Source organism: Homo sapiens, chromosome 3 (assembly GCF_000001405.40).
Source record: "Homo sapiens chromosome 3, GRCh38.p14 Primary Assembly".
NCBI classification, from domain to species: domain Eukaryota; kingdom Metazoa; phylum Chordata; class Mammalia; order Primates; family Hominidae; genus Homo; species Homo sapiens.
In genome coordinates this window covers 107,647,728-107,660,601 of record NC_000003.12, presented here as the reverse complement: position 1 = coordinate 107,660,601, position 12,874 = coordinate 107,647,728, and the positions used below count along the sequence as shown (strand labels likewise).

General features: G+C 34.8%; 1 protein-coding gene across 16 annotated transcripts in view, besides 1 other annotated feature; it reads right to left on the bottom strand.

Moving 5' to 3' along the window:
• The window catches only part of BBX (BBX high mobility group box domain containing), a 288,378-nt gene that overhangs the window by 150,738 nt on the left and 124,766 nt on the right, over positions 1-12,874 (bottom strand). The gene's annotated exons all lie outside the window — the stretch shown is intronic.
• Positions 9,493-9,693: a silencer, noted in NCBI's record as "peak4758 fragment used in MPRA reporter construct". NCBI's record gives its function as "represses an SCP1 promoter by STARR-seq MPRAs in K562 erythroleukemia cells {active_cell/tissue: K562}" and the evidence as "EXISTENCE:reporter gene assay evidence [ECO:0000049][PMID:32103011]".

Here is a 12,874-nt window from a genome sequence, read left to right as displayed (position 1 = left end):
AATTTTCAAATAAGGTCTAAAGTACAGTACTGCTCTGCCCTCTAGTGACTGGATAGGTTTTGTGAGCTACATGCTTTTTTTTTTTTTTTTTTTTTTAATGCTTTTTGCACAATACTTACGATTTAAAAAAATTACATGATGGCTTCTTTTTCATCATTTAAGAAGTGAACAAAAAGTACTGGTCAACTTTTAAAATATGAGTGGTATGAACACAATGCAGGAAAGAGACTAAAGTTGAAGAATTTCTTTTCATCAGGCCACCCAAGTATTGCAAACCAGAAAAAAATTTTAATATAAACTGTTGCAATCCTTACATCTTTATGCAATTTATTTGGAAAAGTCAAATAATTCCATTACAAATATATTTGTTAAAAACCTTATAAATTTAACTTATAAATTCCAAATTAGTCAATTATATTATTTCAGAGTCTGAGATATCTAGATGAGTGATACTATATATATCACACACAGATGAACAATTTTCTACTAATTATAAAAGAGCAAAAATGCTTAATACAAAGCTATACTGAACATAATTTACGGTTAATTGCTCAAGTGGTACTTGAGGATTTTCCTGAACCTCAGTGTCATCATTAGAAAACTCACTATCTCTTCACTGCTATGTGTGGAAACATTAATCAAGGATGCCAGTTAAGACAGAGCTATTACATAGAGATTCACCCTACTACTTCAACGAAGGGAATCTGTCATATTATACGTCCCTCTTAATTTATCCTGCCATAAACCTCTTGCTAGGAACTGATGCATTTCTAGAACAGCATTTCTAGTCTCACTAAACCCAGGGTACCACTTCTGTATCTACACACTTACGTTAAAAATAAACAGTGCATTCATGCACATGAATGTAAAAGGATACCCAAACATGTGAGGATAATCTACAGGCAGTGTGGTGGTGTGGTTAGGAGAACAAACCCTGCAGCCAGACAGCCTGAGTTTGAATTCCAGCTTTGCCACTTATTAGCAGCGTAACCTTGGGCAGATAATTTCACCTCTCTGTTCTTCAGTTTCCCCATCTAAAAAATGAGAAGAAAAAGAAGCACCTACCAGTACTAAGTAATGGGTTATATTTTGATAGGTATTTGGGTTACACAGGTGTATGCATTTATCAAAATTCAGAAAATGTACTTTTAAGATGTATGCTACCAATGAATGTAGACTTACATCAAAAAATTATACATAAATATTGAACTCTAGTTAATATAAATATTATATAATATAAATGCTGAAGCATTTAGGGAGCTGTAGTGATATCTATATGTTCAGATGCATCAAAAATTAAGTTGAATTGATGAGGAATAGAGAGATGAAAAGATGACAGATATGTAATAAAATAAATATAATAAAATGTTAACGGCCAAATCTAGGTGGAGAGTATGTGAGTTTCATAATAAAATGTTGGGGGAAAATATGCCTACCTCTCATCAGACTGATGTGAAGATTAAATATATATAATACTATTAAATATAAAGAAGAATGCCTGACTTAATAACGGCATTTGACAATATATTTATTTAAACAAATGGAAAGTAGTGATCTATTCTTTCAAGTTGGTAGAAAAGGGGAGGAAAGTAATAAGGCACTGAATTCCCAAACTGGGGTCAGTAGTTGCCATCAAAGGTGTTACAGGTCAAATTTCAGATACATCATAAAACTGCACAGACTATGCAAAGAATATAGTCTTTGAAAGCAAGAATGAGCTGGATTTGAATCTCAGGTCTGTTTTTAACAAGTCAAGAAGCTCAGACAAGCTATTTAAATGTTCTGAGACTCAGTTCTCTCTTGTATAAGATGGGAATAATGACACCTACATTTAAGGCTCACTGTGAAGACAAGGAAGAAAAATACACACACACACACACAAACAAAGAAATTAGCACACAAAAGACAAATAACAGCTGTAGTTTTTAATCATAATCATCATTACTACCTAGGGCAAGTCTTGTTTATCTTTACCACCATTCTCTGAAGATGAAAACCAAAGTGGCTATGTATCTGTTTCTTAAGACTAGGAACTGCATATGCAGTTGGCCCAAATACTCCAAAGGGCTTTCTAAAGGATCTTTATTAAAAGAGTAGGCCTTATTTTAAGTTTCACTAAGTGTGAAAGAAGAGTCGACAATGACAGGAAATTTATTATTCATTCCTCTGTAATGCCAATTATAATAAATATAAGACTTATGAGTAAGGCATTTGAAAGTATTTGTTTGCTGATGGCATTTTAAAGAAAATCACTTCAGTGCATTTGAGGAAATGATATTAATACCTGGATGAGCTTTGATTTAAAATAGTCTAAGGTAACATATTTAAAGAATATTACAACTACATTTATAGAAGATGAGTTCTATGCTCCGAGGGAGAGGATTTGTAAATCATTATGGATTACTCAACGAAGACAGTGACTCAACACACAGTTTCAGCTAAAAAGAAAATCAAGAACTTGGCACTCAAAGAAGGAATATTGGAAAGATTATACAACATGGCTACTTCTTTGACTGCTCTATAAAACTGCTTTCTCCAAAGGTTATTCACCCCTGGATTACTAACTCAAGGAACTTTTTTCAGGCATTTAGATATCCCTAAATTTTCAATACTGTCAATCTTGAAAGTCTTCCCATCTTGCACAGCACTATTCTGCTTTTCCCACCACAGATCTGATTGGATTTCTTTCCTTTAGACTTCCCTTAACAAAGAATGGGTATTTTCAACAATTCCACTTTAGGCATATTATCTTTCACCAATTTTCAAAGTTTCAGCTCTTACCTCTCTCTTCTATTAAACCTATGTTCAGTCTGAATCTCTACCAAACCTCATCTCAAATTTATAACTACATCCTAAATATAATGCCATGGATATCCTGTGTGTTCAAATCCAATCCATCCCAAACTTCACCTCCCCCTCCCACAAATCAGTAATACTAGTAGCTCCTTACTTCTGATGGCAATATTAGCACTCTTGTGAACACCCACACTTAAATTAAAAACCTATCTTTGACTTTCTTTTAAATACCCTCCATTGCCTCCTAACCTCTCTGTCCCTCTACATCCCCAAAATGAGTTCAGTCTATTGTCAAGTTCTGTAGATTAATAGTTTCTAAATTGATTCAGGTGACAGATACCTAGACTTCATATTCAAGAAACACAGTGAAAGCTAAATTTACGATAACTAAACACACAAAACAGAGGCTAAATAGTAGTAGGAATCAAGTGTTTTAGAAAATTGTCATTGAAGGAATCCTTAAAACTGAGTATCCATTAACTTTTGCCCCGTAAATGGGAAAGACTAGTTCTGTAACTTGGAATACTTCAATCTAAAATATTTCAAGATCCAGAGTATAACCTTCATAATGTCTCTCATAATAGCCCCTTTTACAACTGTCAACACACTACAGAAGAATGAATGTTTTCTTACCTAGGATAATAGTAAAGCCCCCTAAACCAGTCTTTCCAATGTCTACCTTTTTTTCCTTCTGTTCCATCTCATTTATATCCATTGCTCAGAAGTTTTCAGTGGCCCATATGCCTTTTGAGGGGAAAAAAAAGTAAACTCACCTTAACATTCAAGACCCTCTTTACATCTCTGCCTTCACACCAAAGTTTCCCACCGTAACTTTACATGTATCCCATCCCACTGGCCCAAGTAGTCTATTCACCTTTCCATACTTCTGTTATTTCCTCTTCTTTGTGAAGTCTTCCCTGATATCCTTAAGTGGGGTTTAAGGTCTTCCTCAGAACTTGAAGTTTATTTGTATATCTCCCTCTTTTGTGCCTAGACATTGCCTTATATTACCACATCCTGATCTTGACAGTGTGTAACGCACTGCCTTGCACATGATAATTAGTAAATATTTGTTAGCTATACAGAGGAATAGAAAATACATTATTTATCTTTAAAGAAAACATTTTTCCAGTGAGACCACTATACGTTGTTCAGGTTCTAAAAAGAAACAGAACAGAGCAGGAGAAAGATTAAAGAGGGATAACGATCCAGAGCACAAACTCTCACAAGCAGTCTGGAAAGGTTTAGATTTCTCAATATATATTAATAATTTTAAAAGTATACAATTAAAGTCTATAAAATCCATGGTGGTTATGGTTTGGATGTTTACATACTCAACAAGGAAAAGGGAAAATTGCTATAAAAGAACCACAAACACCTAACACATACACACTAAATAAGAAGCAGCTTTTAGAAGGAACCAAAGTATTTCATAGATAGTACTAAAATACCTTGAAAACAAGTTTAGATATATTAATTGTTGAGAGATATTCAAAATTAATACAAAATAGCTATTGATACACGGGACAAAGACCAAGCTGTACTGGCTTTTATGCTTATGTGCATGAAAATTATTAGAAAATAAATACTTTCACAGAACATTTCTGAAGATAGAGAAAAAATATTTTTTTCTCTTGGACCAATTATGAAATGTTAAACCACTAACTTGAAATGAAGGAAAATTTTGCATCTCTTTTCAAGTTTATGAATTAAATAACAGAATAAGATCATGGTTGAATGAGCTATTTAAATTTTTTAAATATTTATATAGTTATCAGTGTGTAATATTTTTAAAAAATAGCACTTAGCTGGACATGGTGGCTCACGCCTGTAATCCCAGCACTTTGGAAGGCCAAGATGGGCGGATCACGAGGTCAGGAGATCGAGACCATCCTGGCTAACACGGTGAAACCCCATCTCCACTAAAAATACAAAAAATTAGCCGGGCATGGTGGTGGGCGCCTGTAGTCCCAGCTACTTGGGAGGCTGAGGCAGGAGAATGGCGCGAATCCGGGAGGTGGAGCTTGCAGTGAGCTGAGATTGTGTCACTGCATTCCAGCCTGGGGGACAGAGCAAGACTCCGTCTCAAAAAAAAAAAAAATAAAATAAATTTAAAGAAACTTAGCCAGGTGTGGTGGCACACGCCTGAAGTCCTGGCTATTGGGAGGCTAAGGCAGAAGGATCACTTGAGCCCAGTAGTTCAAGTCTGTAGTGAGCTCTGATGAAACTACTGCACTCCAGCTTGGGAAACAGAATGAGCCCTTATCTCTTAAAAAAAAAAAAAAAAAAAAAAATTAATTATCATACTTTAAGTTCCCATACTTAGTGAATTCTCATTAAGAATCATACGATATCTCCTTGTTTTGTTCAAATAATTATAGTCTTTGAAGAAAATTATCTAGACTATATAAATTTGTTCTTATGCTTAAAAAATTGACATAGTTTGGGCTGATAATCTTGTTAATACTAATAGCAGGTAGCAATAATATTCTTAAATAACTATAATCCACTGAATGACAAATGACTTATTTCCTAGTATTTTCATACGTTTGGGCTTTACTAAAATTGCAAAATTGGGGGAGGTACAATTAAAATAAAATCAAACTTCTATCACTTAGAATTGTACAGAAAATATTTTAAGAAATCCAACAATAAAAGTAAATGTTAATTTATTCTTTCCTAATGAAATCGTCAGGAAAGCAAGTCCATCTTGTATTCAATAAAGATTTTCCCAACATAGTAAAAATGTACAGTTTGAAGCCGGACATTTCTCTTGCTGTGAATAGAGATAGCAATAAACATGAAATTAAATTTCAAGGACCAGTTAAGAAGCAAAAAAAGTTATAGATCATTTTTTACTTGCTGCCTATTTTAAGAACACATTTCCTTAATAGTGCCTGCCATATGCTGGGTTGACATTATACCCTCTAGTACCTTTAATCCTCTAACAACTTTACATGGCAGGTATTTGCCCCATTTCACATAAAGCTAAGTAACTTTACCACATCCCAGTTACGGTAAACAGCTGAGTTAGTTTAGTCTTGAGTCTATCTGACTCCACAGCCCATGTTTCTAAGAGATCACCCTACAGTCAAAAACAAACAAACAAACAAAAACAAAACAAAACAAAAACATATTTTTTAAGTGATCCATTTAGATCTGTCTCCTATAAGGAAACGCTTAAGTTTCTGCCTACCCATATTAATATCAGGAATCAATAGTGAGCATTTTGGAGCTGACAATCTAGAGGTAAGAATCAAGATCTTTATAAGTATTCGAAAGTAAAAGTTCTAAAATATTTTTTCAGAGGCACATAATAAACTCCAATGTATAAAATATTCTATTATAGCAGAAAGCCAGTAAAAAAAAAATCTATAATTTTGCTGATTAGGGAAAAACTCATAAAAAGAGACATGATTGAAACACTTCTACTATCAATAAGATATAATAGCCTTATTAGAAAGATATATCTTTTGTTCTCTAAAAAGTGAAACTCTAGGTGAATAATAAAGACAGGCAACACCCAGCATTTTAACAGGAACTAAACTTTCAAACCTGAAAACTTTATGATTTATTTAAATGTTCACTTCACCAAATGAATTGAAAGATGATCTGTATGCTTCTGTCCTTCCAAATGGCCTGACAAAATGATTGCTATAAAAAGAGGTTTGGTATTTAAGGGGATTGACAATAGCTGCTGACTTCAAATTTTTCTTCATTAACTTTTATAATACACCTATTTAATGATTTGGTAACTCTAACAATGCTGAAAACATAGTGGTATTCAAAAACTCTATTGAAGGCATGGACGGAGTTTCATGTCCATCCAGGTGCTACCTGCATGGACAGGAGGGTATATACTACTCTGCACATGGATACATCTCACATTTGATAGGTGTTAATTTTTCTCTTATTTGGCAATTCTTCAGTATAATTATTGTGGCACAACTTATTAGGACAGTGCTCACCACATAAACAGTAGGTTGCTAAGCCCCTTTGGAAGCCAGTTCCTCCACATCTGGCTGGCTCTCTCAGAAACCAGGGCATTCTAAGTGCCTATGGTAATGTTCGATACTCTAAAACAGAACATTTCTGTCATAAGGAGACGCTTGGTAATAAATTGCTTTACGGTAAATGTTAAGAACACTGAAACAATTAGATAACTCATCCGTTTTATAAGAATAGTAATATAGCCACAGCAGAGACAGAACAACTGCAAATTAAGCAGGTTATACAAGATAATACAAAACAAACACAATATTCTTGTCTATCAGCTTCATAGATCAATTTGAATATAGCAATATCCTAAAAATACATCCCAGAACAAAACACCTAAATGTTGACTTCAGTCAACCTTTCTGGTACACATTAACTGAAGCCAGGTATCACATTGCATCTCTTAAAGCCCAACATGAACCAAAGTGCCTGCCTTAAATCTCACAACCTTCACATGTACTCCACTCACAGGGTCGCTGATGAAGTGTTGGAAAAGCACTTGTTAGAAGACTAATAAATCTTAACAAACACCTGCTGATTCAATGTAAGCTACAAATGAGCCAACAGGTATAGAGAAATTTTTTGTGGTTGCATTTTAAGCTCTCAGCCCACTAATATTTATTGATTATAAAACTAATGGCAAACTTGAAGGCACAAAGAGACCGTAATTTGGAAGAACACTCCTCTCCCTGAACGAAGTCTGGGAAAAATTTCCATGTAGACCAGGAGATGCTTATCAACACCAAGTTCAGTGGAATATAGGTTAATGAAATGTGAATTCCTGTAATACGAATTCATCACGTTTACTGAGCAACTTCTATGTACCAGATGCTATTTCTAAATTTTGGGAATACAGACATGCACAAAATAGACTTTCTAGTAAACTTTCTAGCATAAACAAGTCCTGTAGCATCTTGAAGAGGTTCTATGAAAGAATTACATGTATACATATATACATATGTTTATGTGTTTATATAGAATATCCAGTAAATGAATATTTTACACTAAAATATATGAAGATCCTAGGAGAAATGTTATGAGCAAGTTCCCCGCCTTAGATCCATTTATTTTCCTAGGAAAACACACTTCTCTATAATAGAGATCAGAGGGAATACAGACTTCAATATAAAAATACTTAATTGATCCAACACCTTTCAGAGTAGCATTAAATGCAGGAAGCCATGCCTGAATATATTCATACTGTCCTCAACTAGTGAATTTCACAATCATTAGATTGATCTTAATGTTAAGAAGAAATACACAGGTAAAATTCCTTATATACAAGGTTTTTGAGTTTGAGTCATTTCATAAATAGCTTTTAGGGAAGACTGAAATCAAAAGTGGACAAAACAATTACACTGACAAACTGATTAAAATTATATCACTGCTGAATAGCATATCCTTTAGTCTATAAGTACACAGAAAAACTGGTAAATTTTACAAATGAATTTAAAATTATTTTTACATAAAAGTATTTGTCTAAAAGGTTTGTTTCCTTTTTTGATTACATTTTTTAGACAAATGCCAAATCACTAGAAACTAAAATTATTCTAGTGATGTAGAACACACAGAAACACATATGTACACACAGACAAAAATCGTCCAAAAAAGAAACAAAGTTCATTTGAGCCTATATCAATATCCCACAAGTTAATGCACTATTTACTCAGCACTAATCCCAAGCACCCATCAACTGACTTACCTAATAGAAAAAGAACTGCAAATTAAACTAAGCAGGTTATAAAAGACTATATAATAGAAAGAAGTACTATACAGACATTGCACTTAGGTGTCCAAGGGAGAGAATTCAGTCATGGGTTCTTAGTTTCTGTTTCTGGTTGAACCAGTAAAGCCCCTTCCTCAGCCCTCTTTTCTGCTTACTAGAGACAGAAACTAAAAACCATGGCTACAGGCTGCTAAAAGCCTAAAACAAAACAAAATAACAACAACAACAACAAAATAAGGCAGGTTGAGAAATTCAAGCATCCATTACCTAATTTAGAAGCTGATGTCAGAGAAAAAAGGGGAAAAAAGAAAGAAGGCAGGTAAGGAGACAGGACAATAATTAAGTAGATCTATCAGACTTAGGACTCCCTGACTTCTGTTGGCATTATTTCAAATACACAATCTTTTTTTTTTCTGTTTACCAAAAATCTTAAGTATATGCCATTTCCTTGTTTGCATTCTCAACTGATTCACAAAGTAAAAGAATATTGCCTTACAAAATGTGAATTGGCTTGATAAAGTAAACAGAAACAGGTATAACCCAAAAGAGTAATTATCTTGTTCAACTTAATTTTCAAATACATTTCTAGTATTCCTAGATAACAATAAATACACATGGAAGTCAATTTTTATAATGATGTAATTCCTCCATCATATAAATCACTTGAATTTTCAAGTTCTTAGACTTAATTCCTTCACTTGTAAGAACCTTATTTTCATGGATGGTGACTTCAAAGTGGAAGAAACAGGAATTCAGTAATTTCAAACGTCTCCCTCCTCAAAAGTATCAAAGATATTTTTAGAATCTTAGAAGACTGTTAACGAACCAGATTATCTTGTTTATAGACTAAATCACGTAGAAAGTATTTTTTAAAACACTTTTACTTCATTCTTTGGTAAAGAAAAACAAAAACCTATGTTATAGATGAAATTGTGTCCCGCTCCAAATTCATATGTTGAAGCCCCAGTCCCCAATGTGATGGGACAGGGCCTACAAAGAGGAAATAAAAGTTAAGCAAGGTCATATGGGTGGGGCCCTAATCCCAAAGAACTGATGTACTTATGAGAAGAGGAAGAGACACTAGAGCTCGCTGCCTACACAGAGGAAAGGCCATGTAAGGACATAGCAAAAAGGCAGCCCTTTCTGGTGGTACAAGCCAGGAAGACAGACCTCACTAGAAACTGACTTTTCCGGCATCTTAATCACTGACTTCTAGCCTCCAGAACTTTCAACTTAAAATAAATGTCTGTTGTTTAAACCACCCAGTCTGACACTTGTTTTTTATGTGTTACAGCAACACAAGCAAACTAATACAACCTCTAAAGATGCAGAGTTTATATTTTTTGAGGTGGTTTTACTCTACCAATAATCCAGGTGAATAAGCAACTAATAGTTACAAAAATACTCCATTTATAAAGAGAACAGCCTGGAACAATTTGAAGACTAATCCAGGCCCAAAAAAACCATTTTTATATACATGTGCTATTTTAAAATTAAACAAAGTAGTCATTTTAGAAAAAGCATAAGGCTTTGAATCATAAAAGATATTACTATGTTGTACTTGATTCTGAAAGTACAAGGGGACAACGTCAATAGAGAAGTTCTTTAAGGCAGTGGTCCCCATGTTTTTTTTTTAGCACCAGGGACCAGTTTCATGGAAGACAATTTTTCCACGAATGGTAGGGGAGGTGGGGGGGATGGTTTGGGCATGAAACTGTTCCACCTCAGATCATCAGGCATTAGATTCTCATAAGGAGCATGCAACCTAGATCCCTCATATATGCAGTCCACAGTAGGGTTCAGGTTCCTATGAGAATCTAATGCCGCTGCTGATCTGACAGGAGGCAGAGCTCAGGTGGTGCTCAGCTCCTGCTGTGCAACCTGGTTCCTAACAGGCCATGGACCAGTACCAGTCCGAGGCCCAGGAAGTCGGGGACCCCTGCTTTAAGGAGTCTAAATTAATTAAACCTTCACACTGGGAACAGCACCATAAAAATCTTAAAATAGAAATGTCTATTTCTTCTGAAACCAAACAGTATTTCCTCTATATGAGGAAAAAAATTTCAGTAGCACCATTTTCTGTTCTTGTACCTTGCCTAAAGATTATATAAAATTTGATACTTTTTGCAACTTAATGCTGACCTTATTAATATACAGAGTAAAAGCCATAAAGTATATGAACTTTTGACCATCACTCTGTCCTTGGGACTTCCAAATTCCCAGTGGCAAGAAGCAAATTCCCAGTGGCAAGAAGTTAATTATTAGATTATGCGGTAACGAATATTTCTACAGGACTCACTCTTTCTCTCAGCAGTAAGGATAAAGCCACTTCCAATTTCCGGTAGAAGTAAAGAAGAATGCCTAAGTTCTTATGCATTCAGGACAATTTTTTAAAAACCCTTGGCAGGTGTGTGGACATATGTGTTTAAAAACAAACACATTTTAGATATGCACTGTCGGATGTCTATCAGAGGTATGGTACAGGGTATCAAGATTCTTGAACTTTGATCACATCTTTCTTTTTCAAACTACTACTTCTTGAGTGCTTCTATGTGCCAGGGACTCTTTTCAGGCAATTAACCCAATTATCTCATTTAATTCTCACAATCCTACAAGGTAGAGATCATTAGCCCTATACTACAATGAGAAAACAACATTTCAGAGAGGTCAAATATAATCACCCAAATGCTTTCAATTAAAAAGTGCCAAAACTAGGATTTATCTGAATCCAAAACCCATGTTTTGCTATAGTGTCTTGCCTTCTAACCTTATTTTTTTTTAAGATATGCAGATGTTGATATAGTTTGGCTCTGTGTCCCAACCCAAATCTCATCTTAAATCGTACTAATCCCCATGTCATGAGACGGACCTGGTGGGAGGTAACTGAATCATGGGGGTGGGTTTGCTTCCATGCCATTCTTGTAATGGTGATTAAGTCTCAAGAGATCAGATGGTTTTATAAAGGGGAGTCCCCGTGCACGTGCTCTCCTGCCTGCTGCCACGTAAGACGTGCCTTTCCTCTTCCTTCACCTTCTGCCATGATTGTGAGGCCTCCCAGCCATGTGAAACGGTGAGTCCATTAAACCTCTTTCCTTTATAAATTACCCAGTCTTGGGTATGTCTTTATTAGCAGCATAAGAACAGACTAATACAGATGTCTAAGCATGTTCCTTACTCCCAATCTTAAGGAACTATAAACTATCACAAAGCATTGTTTATATACTATTGGATCTTTAAATCAATCATCTTAATCCACACAAGTTTGATAATAATGTTTTTTCATATTGTGAGATGAATAAAACCACTATTGGCTGAGGAGTTCTATGTGCTAACAATTTTCTAGAAGATTCAAGAGATAATAATAATGCAAAAGTCACTGTATAGTAAATGTGACCTCAGGTAGAGTATCTTAGAAAACTCCCGGATGCAACTGTTAAGCTCCCTATGGTGTCTGCATTCTTCATCACTAGAATGATTCTTGAAATTGAACTTAAGTAGACAAAGGTATTTGGCTCCCGTTATATCTAGTACGATTAATATATTACTACTGGAAAAAGCGAAGTACCCATTTCCTCATTCTCATCCTATATCAAATTAGATAATATCTGTCAAAGTTCTGTAACCTATTATACATAGGTAAAAGAATTATTTTAAGTATCATATTTCCTTTCTCTAATTCTGTATGCAAATTACAGAGGGTCCAGTTTGCAGTAATTTTTATTCACTTTAAAATTACCTATAAAAGAATAATGTAAGTCTATTATACATATTAGAAACTTTTCCTAAGTTTTAGGAAAAGTTGTAAGGTTCAAAACATCAAGAAACTCTTGAATTGTATCCTTAAAACTTGTCACTGACAATATTCCATATAACAACAAAAGGATTCATGGTCAAACAATTTGACATGTTAAACAGATTAATTTACCGAAGAACTTCCTGGAATCTTTAATACATTATGTGCATTCTGTCTCTAAAAAAGCAGCAGATAGTATTTTGCAGATATAATAGTTAAAATATGTACTGTTTCTCCCTATCAGTCTTTCCCTATCCCCTCTTACAAGGCCACTCTCTCAGATGATGCAGCTTTCACCCTGTGACATGCTCTAGCCAATTAAATATGAGAGTTAATGACATGTGCCACTTCCAAGCAGCCTTGTTAAGAGTCATAGTTCCATCACTTTTCTCTTTCCTCTTTCCTCTGCAAGACATGTACATGCCAGAAAGACTGCTCCTTCAGCTTTGGTCCAAGAATGAAGAGGACACGGAGCGGAGTGGCAGGAGACTAATCAGGGACATGAACATAAATGAGAAATAAATGTTTATTGCCATAAACCACTAAGATTTGGAGGCTCTTCT